The sequence below is a fragment of the Homo sapiens genome, chromosome 12, assembly GCF_000001405.40.
Source record: "Homo sapiens chromosome 12, GRCh38.p14 Primary Assembly".
Classification (NCBI taxonomy): Eukaryota; Metazoa; Chordata; class Mammalia; order Primates; family Hominidae; genus Homo; species Homo sapiens.
This window is the reverse complement of record NC_000012.12, coordinates 127,775,076-127,795,923: the sequence shown is the minus strand read 5'-3', so window position 1 is coordinate 127,795,923 and position 20,848 is coordinate 127,775,076. Positions and strand designations below refer to the sequence as shown.

General features: G+C 41.2%; 1 long non-coding RNA gene across 1 annotated transcript; it reads left to right on the top strand.

The window, feature by feature from the left end:
• Positions 1-1,159: 1,159 nt before the first annotated feature.
• On the top strand, positions 1,160-17,966 carry LOC124903052 (uncharacterized). Its single transcript, XR_007063525.1, has 2 exons — positions 1,160-1,397; positions 15,991-17,966. It is a non-coding gene; the product is annotated as an uncharacterized LOC124903052 (long non-coding RNA).

The window sequence follows — 20,848 nt, the reverse complement described above, 5'->3', positions numbered from 1 at the left end:
TGAGTAAGAGCTGTATGCAGAAAATGACAAAACACTGATGAAAAAAATTTAAGACCTAAATAAATGGAAAGATGTACCATGTTCATGGATTGAAAGACAATATTCTTAAGATGTGAACTGTCTCTAATAACATATAGTTTAAATGCAATTTCAACAAATATCCATGTGGAAATTATTATAGAAATGGATAAAGTGATTCTAATATTTATGGGGAAAGAAGCAGGAACTATAAGAACCAACATAATTTTGAGGATGAAGTTAAAGAACATGTACAATCTGACCTCAAAGATTTCTAGAAAGCTATAATAACCAAGACATTATGGTAACAAATATCAGATTATGTTTGGAATTAGAGTGAAGCAAATTTTGGACCAGAATACAAATTTTAAGGAGGCAATTACTTTTAGGTGTGTTCTATATCAGGATTTGTGTGGTGACCAGGCGGGCAGGTAAATGTGTAATAATTAATTGAACTGTTCTCTTAAGATTTGTGTGCTTTACCGTATGCATACTCCTCCTCAAAAAAAGTGATTTTTAAAAATAAAATTTTAAAGAATTAATATAATATAATATAATAGATAACCATTACTGAATGCTAGGTTAAATATTTTACATCTCTTTGGTGATTTTTTTCTTAAAACAATTATTTGATAACAGCTTGAATCCTCATATTTTTGGATGACATAACTGAAGTCCAATGAGAAAAATATGTTTTCCAAGTCCCTATACCAGGAGAGTAGCAAATCAAGGGTTCAGCCTAGTTCTTAGACATGAAGAGAGTCTAAGAGTGAAGAGAAAAAAGCAGGAAGCAGATAAATGAACATAAAAGTGCTATTTCTGGAGGAGAAGAGCATAGAAGGAAAGTGGAAGGACTTGCAATCTTTACCTTGATCTCTAAAAAATTATCAAAGTGTGTTTTCATAAGTATGGTGTTCTTTGGATTTCTAATTCTGAGAAAAAGAGGGTAAAGACTTTTGCCTTGATTATGGTCATTAAAAGAGAAAAAGAATAGATTCATGTCACATAAAACCTGTTTAGGTAAAGACCAGGTCTTTTGAGAAGTTGTGCCATTTTTTGGATATTAATATTTTAGGAAAGAATGCACTAACCTATTTCTACTTGGAGAATATCTCATAGAACAAACTTGAATTGATTCTAGTTGTGTGCCATGTGTGGATGTGCACCAAGAGAGATGAAGCCATATCTTCTACAACTCTTCAGTTTTTGAAATTCAGAAGTTTCAAGATTACGTTGACTGAAGTAGATCATATTTGGCAAAGCTGTAGGTGACAGGGAAAGTTAATCAACTGGAAGGAAATGGAAGGGAAGAATGTGGTCTACCTCTTCTCTCTCTACTTGAAATTCAAGCAAGACCTTGGAGAATACAGGTGGAGCTGGTGAGTCACAATCCTTGATACACATTTATTTATTTGTTCTGCAAAACTGTATTGATATTCATCATTGTCTTGCACACAAAGAGCTTAAAATCTAGTAAGAAGTCCATACTCTAATATAGATCAGCATAATACAATGAAGCAAGTGTAGTGATTGGAACTTCACTGAAGATAGATTGCTAGCTCAGTTTGTAGGACTCAGAGAAGGTTTTCTGTAAGAGTATGGAAACAAGGACTGACTGATAAAGACTAATTCCCCAATTATCTGTAGCAGTGATAAATTATTATGAGTTGTACTTGTGTTTGCATTTCTTTTCTGAAGGATTATAATTTAAGAGATGTCTTGGGCTATAACTAAGAACACCAGTAATTGAAAAATGTTCCCAAATGTGACCAGACTTCACAAATTCACTTAGCAACAGGAATCTGGGTTCTGTAGGTACTTTATTAATTTTTAAATAATTTCAATAGTTTATGTGCATTTTTGTAACATTAATATTACACATAACTCTCTAGTCTGAGTTGCAAAATGGCTTCAATAGTACAACTTTGTTAGGTGTGGAAAGCCTATAATAATTCTGTCCAGCTCACATATAGAGTTTAACTACCATTAAGAACCAGTATCAGGACATATGAGTGCAAACAAAAATATAGAACAACACCCATCACTAAGATATTCCACATTCACCACCTACCATATTTGTCCTCTCTGGGCCACAGGTATGAAGACTGTTATTGATTTAGGCTTTCATCCTTTGTGAGTATATGTGGTCTCCAGCCAAATATTAAAGTATCCTTCCAGATTATGTTCCAGTTTCTTAGATTTCTGTCTCCTTTGTCCTGGGGTCAGATGGTGGAGTAGGATTAAATATCAGAGCATCATTCTAATGTAGTTACTCATGGTGTTCACTTCACCCAAAATATTTTTTTTTTCTTTTTTTTTTTTTTGAGACGGCGTCTTGCTCTGTCGCCCAGACTGGAGTGCAGTGGCACGATCTCGGCTCACTGCAAGCTCCACCTCCCAGGTTCACGCCATTCTCCTGCCCGTGCCTCCCGAGTAGCTAGGACTACAGGCGCCCGCGATCACGCGGGGCTAATTTTTTTGTATTTTTAGTAGAGACGGGGTTTCACCATATTAGTCAGGATGGATGGTCTCGATCTCCTCACCTCGTGATCAAAACAAGTTTTATAATTTCTCTGGTTTCTCCTATGAGTTAATATTTGCTCCATGGATAAATTTCTTAGTGTGTCCTTAAATTTCCAAATATTTAAGTATTGCTTATGTATTTTGCCGTTGTTGATTCTCATTCAATTCTATAGTGGTTCAAGAACACACTTTGCTTTATATTTCTTTAATTTATTAAGGTTGGTTTATGAAATAGAAGATAAACTATCTTGGTGAATGTTCTAAGTATACTAAAGAAAATGTGTGTGCTCTTCTATTAGGTATTTTATGAATAACAATTGGCACTGGTGGACTGATAGCTTTTTTTAAGGTCTACTATATGCACACTAATTTTTTTTTCCTCCTTGAGCTGTTGGGTCTTTTAAATTTTTAAATTTTTCTTATTTTTATTTTATTTTATTTTTTTTTTTTTTGAGACAAGGTCTCACTCTGTCACCCAGGCTGGTGTGCAGTGGTACTATCTTGGTTCACTGCAGCCTTTGCCTCCCTGGCTCAAGCCATCCTTCCACCTCAACTTCCTCAGTAGTTAGGATTACAGGTGTGCACCACCTTGCCAGGCTAATTTTTCTTTTTCTTTTTTTTTTTTGTGGAGATGGGGTTTCACCATGTTGGCCAGGCTGGTCTTGACCTGCTGAGCTCATGTGACCCACCTGCCTCAGCCTCCCAAAGTGCTGGGATTACAGGTGTGTGCCACCTTGCTCGGCTAATCTTTATATTTTTTTGTAGAGACAGGGTTTCACCGTGTTGGCCAGGCTGGTCTGGAACTCCTGAGCTCAAGTGATCCACCTGCCTTGGCCTCCCAAAGTGCTGGGATGACAGGTGTGGGCCACCGCGCCTGGCCTCTGTGATGTTATTAACAAAAGTGGAGTGCTACATCTCCCATGGCAATTGTGAATTTGTCTGTTCCTCTTATCATTTCTTGCTGGTTTTGCTTCATATGTTTTGCAACTCTGTTGATAGATACATGCACATTGAGGATGTTTGGTCTTTTGAAGAATTTATCCTGTTATCATTATATAATTTCCTTCTTTATTCCTGACACATTCCTTCTTCTGAAGCCTACGTTTATCACAGTCAGTCAGCTTTCTTTTGATTAGTGTTCACATGGCATAGGTTTATTTTGGGGGGATTTTTTTTTTGAGATGGAGTCTCACTCTGTTACCCAGGCTGGGCTGCAGTGACATGACCTCGGCTCACTGCAGCCTCTGCCTCCCATGTTCAAGTGATTCTCTTGCCTTAGCCTCCCAAGTAGCTGGAACTACAGGCCTGTGCCACCACACCCAGCCAATTTTTGAATTTTTGATAGAGATGGGGTTTCCCCATGTTGGTCAGGCTGGTCTCAAACTCCTGGCCTCAAGTTATCTGCCTGCCTTGGCATCCCAAAGTGCTGGGATTATGGGATTACAAGCATGAATTATCACACCAGGCCCATTTGTTTATTTTGATACTCACAGCAGCATATAGTTGATTCTTGTCTTCTATTCAATCTGGCAATCTGTCTTTTAATTGGAAGTCTAGACCCTAGACTATTTGCATTTAATGTATTAATAATTGATATCCTTGAATTTAAGTCTACCATTTTAGTTGTCTTCTATTTTCTTACCTGTTCTCTCTTTTTCCTCTCTTCTGCATGCTTCCAATTAACTGTATAATTTTACAAATCATTTTTATCTTCAATATTAACTTATTTATAATTTTTATATTTTGTCTGGCTTTGCAATATACATCTTTAAATAATCAAATTCAAACGTCAGATAATATTATATCACTATTATCTGATTCATGCATTGCAAGAATCTTGAACAGTATACTCCCAATTATTTTCCCTCGTCTTTTGTGAACTGTCATACGGCTTAGTTTTACATATGATCTAAATGTATGCTATTGCGCATATGCCATATATATCATATACATATGCATATTGTACATATGCACATATGAAAATGTACATGCATTATACATGCACACAGTATGACGCTGGCCTTTCTTCAGACAATTATCTTTTAGAATGGTCAAAAAAGTCATTGATATTCGGTTCCATTTTAACAATTTTTACAGTTATTTCTTTTTGTGGACCTCAGTTTGTTCTGACTGGTGTTGTATCCCTTAAATTTGCATCTAATCGGTTCCTTTTGAACTGAGAGGTTCAATATAAGTTGTAATGTAATAGATTATCCATCTTATTCCTATTGTTCGGTTGGGCAGAAAAGCTCTTTCTGGCTTTCGATATTTTAAGTTGCCTTAAGGCTAAGTGTCTATCGTATTCTACATCTTCTTGACATTCAGTTTTACTTCTTTCTCATGAGTCAGAGATTCATCTGTCAAAATTACCCTACTCTGTGAAACAAAGTTCTAATTGCACTTTTCCAGTCATTTAAAGCTCACTGTATGTGGGGGCATTTACCAGCCCATGAGGAATCCACATTATCAGGAAAGGCAATTTGGGGCACTACTTCCTAAAATCCCCCTATGCACAGTTACCCCATTGGATACAATAGAGCTCACTGTGTCTTTAAAGACTCTCTCCTTCACGGGTGACTGGGTCCAGGACAGTATATTCTGAGACAATCAGATTTAAGGTCACACATCTTTGCTCCTAGAGACCAATCCAAGTGAATTTCCCAGGAGTATGATAACCCATATTGGAGAAAGATACACACTATCAAAGTGTAAATATCACATTTCTTTAGCTCAACATTTCCACTGTTTCTAATGTGTGAAGTAGAAGATAATGATACTCTGGCTATGCAAGTCTGAAAGATGCTCACACATGCTCACACATGCTGACAGTCTGTGCTTTGGAATAAAGAATATTGGCATGTGTTTACTTTGCTGTTGTTGTCATTTTATTTCACTAATAAGAGCTGGAAAAATGAATGTCAGCCTGAACTCATGAAGAGTAATATGTCTGCTTTTTATGTTTTGTTTCTACTTTTTGTTTTATACAGCCATATTATAGGATACTTTTGGAGTGGGGCAGCTATTCTCAAATGTGATCATTAATGCTCTGTCGAATGTACAGAGTAATTACAAGCACAGACTGTTGGTACCTCTCAGACAACAGAAAAAATATGCAAGTGCTTAAAGGTAGATACCTGAGCTGGTCTCATTATTAGCTCATGGTCCGTGGAGAACTTTCACCAAAGAAAAGTAATACTGAATAAAAGAGGTATCCATTAGTTTTATCACTCCCTTTAATTTTTGAATGTTGTCAACCACAATCTATCAGAAATCATAACATAATGCCAAACATGAACTAAAATGGCCATATATTATGTTTTTTAATTAGATGGTTTTAAGATATGGAGACAGGCTACAGTTTGATGTCGACATTGAGAGACACTTAAAGAGGAGTGATAGGAATGGACCTGTTTTCCAGAGGGACTTTCTGTAACTAGAGGGTTTCCGTCTTCTCATTCCTCTGAAAGGGACCCTGAGTGAGCACATGGCAGAGAAGGAGATCCTCAGACTGGCGTGGAGGCCACGGATGCCTTGGGATCAGCAGTGCAAGGAGGGTCTGAGCAGCAGGGGAAGATGTAAGGGACTTCTCTGACAGGAACAGAGTGGCCCACTGGTCCACCTGGAGATGCCCTTCAGGCCTGAACATCTCCCAGGAAGGGAATGACAGAGCGAGAACTGGACACAACTGCCTGCAGAAGCCGCCTTCTCAGGAAGCTGTCCCCCTCTATGGCTGGACTAACCTGGGCCCATCTCCATGGTCTCCCAATCCCTTCTTTTGCCAGTAGGTTCAGAGATGGAGCTGTCATTAGCTTTGCGGAGGGTCCCTGCTCTGTAGCTGCTGGAGTCTTGATGGCAAGGGATGATGAGCTGAGGGATTTTACGCTGGCTGAGTCAGTCACCACGCAGTGTCCAAAGCAAGGACCAGTATTTTAACCCCAGGGTTTTGAGATGATATTGAGAGCTTACTAGGATCTGAAGGGAGTTTGAAGAACAGAATTGACATTACAAACATATCATATTGAATCTACACATGTGATCGTCTGTTCCTAGGGCCATCATACCATAGTCTCTAAGAAGAGGACGCTCCTGTGACATTCTAGTGCCTTACTCATGATCAAAATATATGTAGGCACGTCTTGGTAAAGATATGGCTATTCTGTGTATTCTTTAGTGTTTTTTTCAGGTGGCAGATATTATTACCAAGAATAGAGAGTTACCCTCCTCTACCTGATGAAACTCTGCCATAAAGAGATGGAATGCCAATGAATTAAACAAAGGAGATTGACAAAGTCACTTAGTGGAAGGAAGCTTTGTGTAAAAGCCACTGTACACTAGGCAAAGGAAAGATAGATGTCACTGAACCATCAAGCTACAGCACTGGAAAAAGTCAGAGGTACTTGCAGCACAAATAAACCGGTGTTTCATGGAAGGTCTGGAGGAGCATCTCACATCATGCCTGGCCCATCACAGCCAGAGTCTTGAGAGTTCCCCCTCACTAATCGCAATCCAATTTTCCTTTCCTATAACCCACTAATCACCAGTCACATCTATTGAGTTCCTTCTGTGTTCTCAGAAACCACGTGAAGCCTGCAAACTTCTCAAGAGCTGACACCATATGTGTCTGGACACTGCTGTATCCCCACTGAAAGTCTCGGTGTCCGACACATGGTGTGGTTCCTATATCTACTGGCTGGCAGATATTTTTCTAAAAATATTCATAGACTCATTAGTGTTAAGCTCTTAAACTATAAAAGATAAGACAGGATGTGACACGGCAGACACGTGTCACATGAACAGTGAGGACAGAAAGGACATCAAAGATCGGTGAAAAGAGAGACGTGAGTCAATGTAGCAAATCAATACCACAGGGAGATATAATCTTATGCCAGTCAGAGTGGCTATTACTAAAAAAAATCAAAATATGGCCGGGTGCAGTGGCTCACGCCTGTAATCCCAGCACTTTGGGAGGCCAAGGCGGGCGGATCACAAGGTCAGGAGTTCAAGACCATCCTGGCCAACATGGTGAAACCCCTTCTCTACTAAAAATACAAAAAAAAAAATTTAGCCAGACATGGTGGCGAACACCTATAGTCCCAGCTACTCGGGAGACTGAGGCAGGGGAATCGCTTGAGTCCAGAGGGCAGAGGTTGCAGTGAGCCGAGGTCGCACCACTGCACTCCAGCCTGGAGAAAGAGCGAGACTCCATCTCACAAAAAAAAAAAAAAAATCAAAATATAACAGATGTTGGTGAGAATGCAGAGAAAAGGGAGCCCTTAGACACCGTTGGTGGGAATGTAAAGTCATTCAGCCTCTGTGGAAAATAGTATGGAGATTTCCCAAAGAACAAAAAATGGAATGACCGTTCAATTCAGCAATCCCACTACTGGGTATCTACCCAAAAGAAAAATCTTTAGGCCAAAAAGATACCTGTACTGGTATATTTATCACAACACTGTTCACAATGGCAAAGATATGGAATCGACTAAATTGTCCATCAGTGGACGATTGGGTAAAGAAAATGTGCAGATGTATACACACACACACACGCGCATGCACACACATGCGCACACACGCACACGCGCACACACGCACACATGCACACGCACACACATGCACCCACGCGCACACACACGCACACACGCACGCGCACGCACATGCACACACACGCACCCATACATACGCAGACACACCATGGATACTACTCAGGCATAAAAAAAGAATGGAATAATGTCTTTTACAGCAACACAGATGGAACTAGAGACCATTATCTTAAATAACTCAGAAATAGGAAGTCAAATGCTGCATGTTCTAATTTATAAGTGGGAGCTAAATAATGTGTACACATGAACAACGAGTGTGGAATAACACACTGGAGACTGGAAGGGCGAGAAGGTGGAGGGGGTGAGAGAGGAAACATTAATTACCGGGTACAATGTACACCTTTTGGGTGATGGCTGCACTAACGGCCAAGACTTCACCACCATAACATGTCCATGTAACAAACTGCACTTGTATCCCCAAATCTAAAATTTGAAAAAAAAATTGGAGTGGAGATATTAAACGTAACATCTATTAAAACCCATACATTTTTCTAATAACCAGGAGATGAGAATCATGAAATAGGTACCAGGTGTTCCCCCAGAGGCTGAGAAAACACACAGGAAGGACATGCTAAAGACTGAACATGGATCCTCCAGCAGCAGCGGATCACCTGCTCCTGCCAAGATCAGAGGTGCTGAGATGACTTGGAGGGAAGTTATTGGTGTGCTGGCATCTCTCACCTCCTAAGCCAGTGAACGTAGCTTTAATGTAACCGTTAGGAAGGAGGTAATTAGTAACTAGCGACTGGAGAAGAGGTGAAGCAAAAGAGAGTCAGTTAGTTGCGTTTCTTTTCTTCACTACAATTTCTAAGCCCAGTGCAGACCTGAGATGGGGCAGGATCGAGCCACTGACTTGGATAAATTTGAGCTTCAGAGAAATCACATGGAGAGTTTGACTTGTGACCTCTGGCATGGAGTAGACGTAAGAACTCGGATCTGAGTCCAACCAGGCGAATTCTGAATGTCAAAGGCTGGGGTCAGAACTGCCTGACTGGGACAGAACACAGACAGAGAGGGACGCATTGGGAGACTCTGTGCTTTTACCAACAAAGGGGAAAAGAGCTGTCTGTTTTCTTGGGATGGTACAAGAAAGCCAGGTCGAAGGTGGTCTTCAAAGGGAACCTATAAAGGGAACTGCCTGGAGGAAGTGGACTGCCTGAAGCCAAGGCATGAACGGGAGAGCTGTTCACGGCCATCAGGAAAAGATGTCACTTGGATCAAGCTAATGCAGGCTACGTCCATGCCACGGGCCCCACAAAACTCAGATAATGATGCCATGGGAGGAAGAGTCAGACTTGGGTATCTGCTCCATCTAGGGGACATTGGTGTCAGTTCCTGATTGTGTCTGTCAGGGCAGATATTTTCCACTCCTGTACTTCTTTGTCTCACTCTGGGGCCATAATCAGAAGTGACTGGAGCGGGGGAGGGGGGCGGGGGCGGGGAATGAAACCAGAGAGAAGGAGCCGTCCCCACTTGCCTTTGTAAACTTCACTGCAGGTTCTCAGCCAGAAGCAGCCCCAGCTGGGGTAGGGTGGTACCGTTAACTTGCATACATTTCAGAGTTCTGATGTGACTTGGTATGACACTGTGTATTACTGGACAGAGATTATTCTTGTGACTGAAAGAGGTTGTTCTTGTGACTGAGATTTGCCTGAGGTTTTGCCCACAAACTGCTGGGTGATATGTGCTGGGCTTGAGGGTTGCTGTGTTGTGAGGGCTTCTGGCTGTGCACGGTCCACCAGCCTCTGCTCTGCCTGGCATCTCTGGGGGTGACCCTCCCCATATTCCACCACCTAGAATTATGTCCAAAGGGGCCTGGGAATTCCTTTGACAGCTTCAAGATGGAGCCATCAAAGAGACGGTGACATTGACAGCTTTAGGATTTGTTTTTCTCTTTCATTCTTGCTGCATCTTGTTTGAATTTGGAGTGAGGTGTCTTTAATTCACTGCGAGTCTGTGCCAAGAAAATGACTCAGAGTCCCACCCTGGGTCCTGCTGCATCATAAAGCTAAAGATAGAAGGATTGGGAGTTTCTGGATCTCTCACCACCTCTCCTCTAAGCCATGGCATATGGTGGATCTGGACACATCCCCATCTTGGAGGCAGACCTGGAGCCGTGGGCCCGGTGTGGCAAGCTGCTGCTTCTCCTCGTTCTTTCTGGCAAAAACACAGCCTGTGCCCCTGGATGTGTGTTTGCCCTGCTTCTGTGGAGGAAGGAACCTCTTGGATTGCAGAGACACCTCCACTCCCCAGTCAGTTCTCTGGAGACCTTGTCTCCCCAAACATGGGGCTCCTAAGCTGTGCATAGAAACTGGAACAGCAGTTGCTAAGCTATCACAGAACCCTCCACCTCCAAGTCTGCTGGCCTCTGCCTCTTACCCCCTACCTCCTGTTGGACTCATTACCATGCTCCTTCTGGGAGTAGGGCTTCCAGCCCTCCCCCAAGGAATTCCCTCTCCTCTCAACCTACGAGACCACTCATATTAATCTCCGATTTGTAGATGAGAATAATGACATTTAGAAAGGTTAAACATCCTGCCCAGGGAGGCTTCTTGAAGATACACCCTGTGATAATGTGTACGGTTTGTCACAGAGACTCATAAACCCCAGAGCACAGCATCCCCCATCTGCACAGCACCCCTTTTCCCACTCTACAAGTACCATGTGTGTCCCCAGCATATTTCTCTCCAAAAACAGGTGAGGATGAGACTTCCTGAAATATGGATGCTAAATATATGCATATTTATTTGGTGCAGGTGCCCTGTTGGAAAATGCAACCACAAAGAGTGAAGTTGAGAGAGGAACCAGGGGACATACAGCAGGGACAGGTTGCCTGGGGCTTGAATTCAGAGGCTTAGGTCCCTGTGTGACTGCCCCACTCACGGGATACTCTAATATATTAATAAATTGGGCATCTCCTCCCCCCAGGGTCAGGAGGTTAAATGTGCCATTTCTATCACTAGTGCTGCGATGTTGACTTCAACAGCAACAAGAAATCCCACCCTGTGTGGTCGAGGGTGTGTCTGAAAGCCCAGACCCAGAGAGGGATCTCCTTAGTACCGTGGAGCTTTGTAACAATGGATTCATATATTTATTAAGCAAAGAGAAGTGGGTCTGTCCAGACTCAATCAGGAACTCATGTGTTTACCCATGATATGATCCTGAGCCACTGGGAGAGTTTAAAAGAGCAAAGAAGGGTCCAGAAGAATTCCTCACCAGGGAGGAAAAGAAAATAATGGTGATAGTTATTTTAAGTCTTTCTTGATTTCTGTGTGTATCAGCCAAATATTGAGCTAGAGAGAATCACAACCAGTCCATGGACATTTTTCATTGTCTGTTGACAAATTCTGACCTGGCCATCCCATCTTCAGGCACCTGTGCAAACACAGAAAATTAAAAACTCGTGTTTTTTATTCACTCATGTGCAGAAGCCTGAAAATGTTGATCTCACAGAAGTAAAACATAGAAGACAGGATACTAGAGGCTGGGAGAGGTTGAAGAAAGGGAGGGATTTGTTAAAAGATAGCAAATTACAGCTAGGTAGAGGAATAAACAAGTTCTAGTGTTCTGTGACACTGTAGGATGACTGCAGTTAACAATAACATATTATTAGTTCCAATAGCTAGAAGGAGTATATTAAATGTTTCCAACACAAAGAAACGATAAATACTTTAGGTGATGAACATGCTAATTACTCTGATCCGATCATTATCCATTCTATCTATTGAAACACCACCATGTACCCCATGAATATGTACAATTATTATTTGTCAATTAAAAAATAAAATTAGGCTGGGCGTACCGGCTCACGCTTGTAATCCCAGCACTTTGGGAGGCTGAGGCAGGGGGATCACTTGAGGTCAGGGCATCAAGACCAGCCTGGCCAACATGGTGAAACCCCATCTCTACTAAAAATACAAAAAAAGTAGCGGGGCCTGCTGGTAGGCACCTGTAATTGCAGCTACTTGGGAGGCTGAGGCAGGAGAATCGCTTGAGCCTGGGAGGCAGAGGTTGCGGTGAGCCAAGATCGGGGGCCACTGCACTCCAGCCTGGGTGACAGAGTGAGACACCGTCTCAAAAAAAAAAATAAATAAATATTAAGTTAAAATTTAAAAAATGACCAAGAGATAAAAGCCCAACTCAGGTTCTTCACAAGGCAGCTAGATGCCAAATCTGGACACGGGGACCCTACATACATAGAAGATTGTCTCCAAATAGTCCAGGGCTTACACGAAGTTGAGATGAGGAGGTCGCCATGCAAGAAACCCGACTCAGGAATGTCGCTTTCCTACCGTAGGAGAGATGCAGTTCAACGATATTTTTGGCTTTAAAAGATCCACTGCATTTCTCCTTATCTCAGCCCCTTTATCAAAAGCCTCTTAAAAAGATGTACTGAGTCAGGTTGCCTGTTTGCAGTCAAATTTTTACTCAGTCCTCAAGATTTAGCCTTTTATTGTTTTTGGTTGTGGTAGATTTATTGTATTGTATTGTATTGTATTGTATTATTTTATTTTTACTTATCATTGTGGACTGCCATGAGTGAGAGTATGGTCAAGTAGGATGGAGAGTCAGGATCTACTAGCAACTAGATGTTAACTGTGGGGCTGAGGGAGATAGAGCATGGTTAAGAACACACACAGTAGCTGGGCACAGTGGCTCACGCCTGTAATCCCCACACTTTGGGAGGCTGAGGCAGGTGGATCACGTGAGGTTGGGAGTTCGAGACCAGCCTGGCCAACATGGAGAACCCCGTCTCTACTAAAAATACAAAATTAACCGGGTGTGGTGGCACATGCCTGTAGTCCCAGCAACTCAGGAGGCTGAGGCAGAAGAATTGCTTGAACCCGGGAGGCAGAGGTTGCAGTGAGCCGAGATCACACCATTGCACTCCAGCCTGGGCAACAAGAGCAAAACTCTGTCTCAACAACAACAACAACAACAACAAAAAGAACACACCCAGTGACTTAGACAGATGCTTATTTCCCTCCTCTGTAAATGTGATATATTAACAATAATAATAATAGTGCGTATTTTACAGGGTCATTGTCCAAAGTTGAGTGACAAATGCAATTTAGTATCATGCCTGAAATTTAATAAGCACTCAATAAGTGATAGCTGTTTAATCATCATCATTATCATCATCATCATCATCATCCAAGAAGGACCTCATCTTAAATAACAGGACCGGCCACAATGACATTACCAAGTTTTTAGCACAGTTAGCATGGTGCCCTGGAGCAGGCAAGTAAATGCACATCTCAAGGAACATCCTTGGCTGTTCTTGACCCATATCCACCCCCTCTCCCTTGTCCAGGTAATGGAACACCGATTTCCTGGGACAACACCTGTTCTCCACTTTGACACTCTGCTGTTAGCAGAGGCCCTGAGCTTCCGGCAATAGCTCTGGTTAGGAGTCCAAAGCTCCGCCAATCAATGCATTGCGTTTCCCTTCCCATGGTAATTGCCTCTGCATTCATCATGGAACCCGAAAGGGGGCAAAGAGACTCGACTCTGGGGTTGTGCTTGCATTACCAACCTCTTTGGTAGCATCTTCTACTAAAAGATTATGGATAGGAAATTCACGAGTAGCAGATCGTGAGCTGGCATCTCTGTTAAGTGATGCATAAGAGTTTCTTTAATGCTCCTGTTCATGGCATTTGTGATATCCTACTTTTGGTAGTATCGTCCCTAGGGCATTTATAGATACTTTTGGATTCTTCTAATTTGTTAAGCTCTTGAGTGGCTTCTTATGGGTGGTTGGCATACCAATGTTTCATGCTTAAGATTGTTTGTTTGTTTTTTTTAACCACTTTATTTATCAAAGTCAATGAAAAGAAACATACCGTTTTTATGTATGTTTTTAGTAACAACATACTAACAGTATACTAGTTATTACTAATTGTATTAGTAATATTATTACTAATTGTATTAGTAATAATATTACTAATAGTAACTGGTATTCCAGGTGTTGTTTGCAATGCAATGACGTATGGTTGGATTTTAAATTTAAAACTTGTAAATGCCAGTAAGAGATGACCTAGTTAAGAGAGCCATTTCCCTCATCAATGTGAAACTATTCAATCACAGTAAATACAGAGCCGCAGATAAGCTCCCACAAGTGAAGTAATTCTTAAGCACCTGACTCTGAAACCATGGCAGTTGGTATTATTCATTCTGTAGAGACAATTGAATGCAACGATGTTCAAACCTTTTGTTCTAAGGAATGGGATTTTGGAGACATTTGTACGCTTGCCAGGTGAACACAGTCAGCTTCCACGTCAAAACGCCATATGGAATGTGTTCTGCTTCAACAGTCACCTCCAGAATCATGTGTCACAGGGTTGTTTACAGAGAAGGAGACTTTCAGAACCCCATGGCCACAGTAATGAAAGTGTAAAATACTGCAGAACACAGGAAAAATTCTCAGTAAACAGTCTAATGCATGGGGCAGTCCCTCCTGTGTTTAAATGTTGGCTCTGCCATCTATATTTTATATAACCCTAGACAAAGCACTTTCTTTTTATGTGCCTCAGTTTCTGTAACCTCATCTGTAAAATGAGGTTATAATGATACCTACATCAAGGGGCTCTTGTGAGGATTAAAGGAGTTAATGGTAAAGGACCTAGAGCAGTATTCAGGGATGGCCATTATATCACCGCGCTACTTTACACAGCTGTTCACTTGTCCATAACCTCCACGAACCCGAGGCCTGTGGGTTCAGCAGTGGTTTCAGATATACGGTTGTAGCTACTGCACCAGGGTTGCTGCTTGACTCAGAAATGATTCTCAATAAACATCTGTGCAATGCATGGATGTTAGAAGAAAGACAACCCTACGAGAGAAAACACTTTAATTTGCATTAACCAGTTTATCTCAGAACAACAATGTGATACACTTACAGTCTTCATATTCACACATGGCCATGGTCAAGTCACTTCCTCTTTCAGAACATACATTTTATCTGTGAAATGGGGGGATTGCACTTTGAGTAAGTTAAAAAAATCGTTCAGATACATTACTAGAACATCATTCTATATTATAGCCTAGTGGTTTTCAATGCTGCTGCATATTAGAATTTCCTGGAGACCTTCAAAATATACCGATTTTAGCTATAACTATATACCTAATTATTCTAACTATGTCATATTCTAGGAAAGGCAAAACTATGGAAATAAAAAAAAAGGCCAGTGGTTACCAGGAATTAGGGGAGAGGGAGGGATGAATAGGTAGAACACAGAGGACTTTTGGTACATGAGATTATTCTGTTTCATACTGAAATGGTGGATATGGGACTTTCTGAAAACTCTTGAACTGGTGAATGCGTTTGTCAAAACCTGTAGAACATGACAACACAAACAGTGAACCCTAATGAAAGCTACGGAGTTTAGTTAATAATGTGTCAATATTAGAATTAGCTCATCAACTTAACCATCGTACCGCAGTGATCCAAGATGTTGACACTGGGGAGTGCTGTTTATTTGGGGGAAAGGAGGTATGTGGGAACTCTCTGTACTTTCAGCTCAATTTTTCTATAAAACTAAAACTGCTCTAAAATTAAATCTAGTAATTTGAAAAATATTCCCTCTCCCCACGCTCTAGAGATCCTGATTTAATTTCTCTGGGGTGGAGCCTGCACATTTGTATTTTTTAGGTTATGCACTTTATTCTAATGTGTAGTGTGGATTCAGAACAGCTCGTCTAAAATGAAGGGTCTGCAGAGACCGATGTACGGGGTGCCAGAGGGAAACCACGTGTGAGAGAACAAGGCCTTCATGCTTTGTAAGAGAGGACAGAACCAGATCACAAGGGCTACTTAAAAAAGCCCTCCTCTTGCTTTGCATTCTTCCAGGACCTGCAACCGGTGATTGAACTACCAGTTTCTGAAGGCCACCCATTCACACCTATTTCCCGCTACTCCAGGTAAGACACTCACGGCAGGCAGTCTCCCGGGAAACAGAAGTCTCTATTTGTTACCATCATCGTCTGGCTCATGATCCTAATGAGGACCAAGATTCCTGTGGGATCAAGTTCCCCTCTGAGGATTCTTGAGAGCCGCCTTCCTGAATCCTCACAAACACCTTCCTACCTACTTCCTTCCATTAACAATTACCTTTCCATCTTTATTTTTTTGCCTACGACAAGCACCCTTAACACACTCATACCTGTTTCACCTTTCTTCCGTAATAACCTAGATTTTATTTTCATGTTGAGGAAAAACACTATTTTCCACTAGGCTATCTGCAGCTGGAGGAGGCCGTGAGTCACCGTTTTGAGCCTAGAGATGTAAACAGAAGTTGCTGGGAAGAGCTTCTAGGAAGCCTCTGTAAGATGATTATCTCAGTTGGGTCTGTCTTTTTGCTTTGTCCATCCCTTTTTTAACTTTGGAGTGTGCGTGTGATACAGGAGGTGAAGCAGTCATTTTGTGACTATGAGGAGATAAAGCCACATGGGTAAGTTGGCAGAGCAGGACACTGGGAGAAGCATGTGCTTCTGTTGGCAATGAGGGATCATCATACTATTCCTAAACAGTCTAAGTCCTGAGGTCTCGTGTGTGTTCTTACTTGTTCATTACTCTACTTTTTCAGGTTGTATATTACTTACAGTTCAATACAATCTAAACCTTAACCAGTCATTCTCCTAGTTAGACTGTGAGCTCCTAGAGGGAAGTTTGGCATGTGATATGTTTCTTATGGTCCCTGCAGTATCTAGCACGTGCTAGTAGGGATCAGGTATGCAATACTCATCTATTGATTGATTTGGGATACAGTGAGTTGAGGTAAGAGAGAAACAGAAGTCAACTCCAACACGTCAAAGAATAAAGTTTGCTGTTGGTCTCAACAGCCCCAGGGCATCTTTACTGCAGTGTGATCTCTCTCTCCTATCCAGTGAGGCTCCAAAATATGGCTTTAATTATCCTTCCTAAGTTTTACAAAATTCACTGAGCTTTTGTCTTTAAAACAGTATTCCTTCCCCATCTCTGGTGTGAAAAAAAAATTACGACCAGAGTTTTACATCTTTTTCTTTCCGATATTTCCAGAAAAGTATGCCCTAGTCTAATTTGCAGGTGGAAATTGAAAATGTATCTCGCTGACCTCAAGGGATGATATTCAGGAGCTTCAGGGAATCTTCAGCTAATGGGAGAAGCACAAGCAGATTAATGGATCCCAAAGACAAAATGCCTATCCTAGCTCAAATGACATCTCGTGGATCTTGAAAAGTGGAGCTTTCTGTGCCCATCTTCAGAAAGAGACATCAGACAATCTTAACATTTCTGCAGCTGAACATGGGATGAGAAGAGGGCAATCTTCCAGTGGGTCCACCACATTTTCTTTCCAATTGAGCCAATTCATGGTCTCTTCTGGCAACTGCAAGGCCAGATGTGAATTTACCACTTTATTGAGTGAAGCGGTCTGGGCATTGTGAGACTCACATATGCACCCAGAGGGGAAGGGACCCTCACTCTGGGAATGGAAATCAATTCATAATTGTACCCAGACAAATGGGGCACACACTTCAGATCTATTACAGGATTTAGTCGGAATCAGAAGAACAAAGGCATAAAGTAGAAACACATTCATATGCCAGGCACAGGTAGGGGCTGGGGAGGGTAGAAAGTCCAGGGTTCCTGGCCGGCGAAGAAGGGCTCTGCTCAGCATCTCATGCTGGAGTGCAAGAGTATAAAATAAGGTAACTAAGGACATGAAGCTTGGCCGCCTGCACCATTTGAAAAAAGAAAAATCAAACTGTGTTTTATGAGTTTTTCTGGCTGAGTGGGCTGATGGTAAAAGTGATTGCATAAGTGAATAAATTGAAATATGTATCCTGGTTGTGTCAAAAGCAAAAATAATTATTTTGTTCTTGGTGAGATATAGTGTTTAACTGCCAACACATCAACCCAAATAAAAAGGAAATCTGCCTTTAGATCTAGTAATACATTTATTAACAAATGATGTATCTGAATTATCCATCGTTTTGATCCACATTTTGCAGAAAGGCAAGCCAGCATGGAGAGGCCATCTCACGGGTGATTAAAAATGTCACTGGAGTCTCAGGGCAATGGGAAGAGTTAGGAAAGAGGAAAAAAAAAAGAGAAGTCTCAGAACAATGGAGGTGGTTTTTTTCAGGCATTCTTGCCCGTGAAATGAGCTGATTAGGATTTTCCCAAGCCCCTCAGAATGGTGAAAAGCAATTGTGGAATGTATGATCTTTAAGAATTAGGCTCCATAGGGCTCTTCTATTTTCTCTCTCCTGAATTTGCTGTCATTTAATTGTTCTAAGCATGGTCGACTTAGGGATTCTTGCACACACACACATTTGCATTAAGTTCATTTATGCTTGTTTATGGGTGTGTGTTATTTAGACCCAGAATAATTGATGCATATTTGACAGAAAATTTGGAAAACTTAGAGAAAGAGAAGCATGATGCCTGGTGAACTACTCACTCATGAATATGGACATCCTAGCAGGGGGGTAGCATCCCCACTCTAGAGCGATGGACTGGATATGAATCCAGATTATCCACCTCCTCAAAGGGCGGTTTGAAAATTATATAATGGTTATAAAATGTATCTTCCCTGGCACATGATAAATGTTAGCTGAGGACACACACACCAAGGCACCTATGTAAAAAGATGTTCATTGCAGTAAAATGGAACTTTTAGAAGCAATAAAATACCTGCCAATGAAATAATCTTCCGGCATAGGTGTGCTGTAGCAATACTCTCAGAGAGCCCAAAGGATGCAGCAGGTCTATGCTAAATGTTAGGCTAAATGACAAAGACATGCATTGTTAAATAACCAACACATACATACAATGCATGATATTTAAAAATCACAAACCAAAACCATATTTTTTAGCACGCATATATATGTGTGCATGCATGCATAAGTGCACATACCTACATATGCATATATGTATGTGTGTATCTGTACCTGTATCAATATCTACGTAATATGCCACATTGATGACAATACAAATTAACTCAGGGTAATCATGAAGAAAAAGTGAGGTCAAAAGGACTTTATTTTTAAAGTTCATTCATTCTTTAATCAACAAATAAAAGTGGTATATATTTATTGTGTACAGCCTGATGTCTTAAAATAGGTACCAAAGAGGACTTCAGCTTTCCTGTGTGTATGTGTGTGTGTTTAATACTCATAGCTGCAGTTCAATGTATTGCTTGCTTACTTATAAGACAGGCTTAGTTTTGAGCTCTGGCATTGATTATTTTGGTGACTTTGGAAAAATTGCAAGACTCTGATCTTTATGAACAAAATGGCAATAAGAGACAAAGCCATCAAAGAGGGTCACAGGTGGCTCTTTGGAGGTGTTTTGCTGTGAAAAATATCAATAGATAATGTGTCATGGGTGGAGAGCAAGGTGTAGGGAAGAGAAGGTGCCAATGTTTTGTTTTATTTGCTTATTTGCTTGATTTTAATGTTATATGAAGCTATACTTTATCTTTTTTTTTTTTTTTTGAGACAGAGTCTCATTCTGTCGCCCAGGCTGGAGTGCAGTGGAGCAATCTCGGCTCACTGCAAGCTCCGCCTCCCAGGTTCTCTCCATTCTCCCACCTCAGCCTCCCGAGTAGCTGGGACTACAGGCACCCGCCACCACTCCCGGCTAAGTTTTTTTTCTTTTTTTTCTTTCTTTTTTTTTTTGTATTTTTAGTAGAGAAGGGGTTTCACTGTTAGCCAGGATGGTCTCATCTCCTGACCTTGTGATCCGTCCGCCTCGGCCTCCCAGAGTGAGCCACCGCGCCTGGCCTGAAGTTATGCTTTATCTTAAAATTATGAAAACTAAATGGACTAATACATACAAGATGCTTAATAGAGTGCCTGATACAGTAAGTACATACCCAGTATTATATAAGCTAATGTTAGAAGCTTTTTTTTTTTTTTTTTTTTGAGACAGAGTCTTGCTCTGTTGCCCGGGCTGAAGTGCAGTGGTGTGATCTTGGCTCACTGCAACCTCTGCCTCCTTGGTTCAAGTGATCCTCCCACCTCACCTCCCAAGAGTAGCTGGGACTGCAGGTGTGTGCCACCAGGCCGGGCTAATTTTTGTACTTTTTTGTAGAGACAGAGTTTCACCATGTGGTGCAGGCTGGTCTTGAACTCCTGAGCTCAAGCGATCCACCTGTCTTGGCCTCCCAAAGTGTTGAGATTACAGGCATGATCCACTGGCCCAGCCTGCTTCATTGTTTTTAAATGGTGAAAATAAAAGATCTGTATACAATTTAGGGAGAACACTTGCTTCTTTTAAGGGGATTTTTGGAAACTTTGCTTGAGTACTATTTATACTAATATTTATATTGGCCTGCAAATGACTCTTTGAAGTTTTGAAAACTCCAATCCTAAAACAAGAATCTCACCTGTCAGGCAGTTCAAAACCATTAAAAATTGGGGGCTTGGTTTCTTATTACTATAAATAAGTTTATTTTTTATTATGGTTTTAATTTTTATCTGACCATATTACGAACGCTGGATGACCCATCTAATTGTATTATTCGAAAATCTCAAAGCAATTTGTAGGGAAAAGAAAATCAGTATAGTAGTTCATCAGCATTACAATAATAAATCAACATTGGATACTCTTGAGAAGCTGGCATTTAGAAAGAACAGAAGAATATGAAGGAGTGAGCCTGGATTTCTGAAGGGAGAGTGTTCCAGGCAGAGACCACATGGTACAAAGGCCTCTTGGTGTTGGC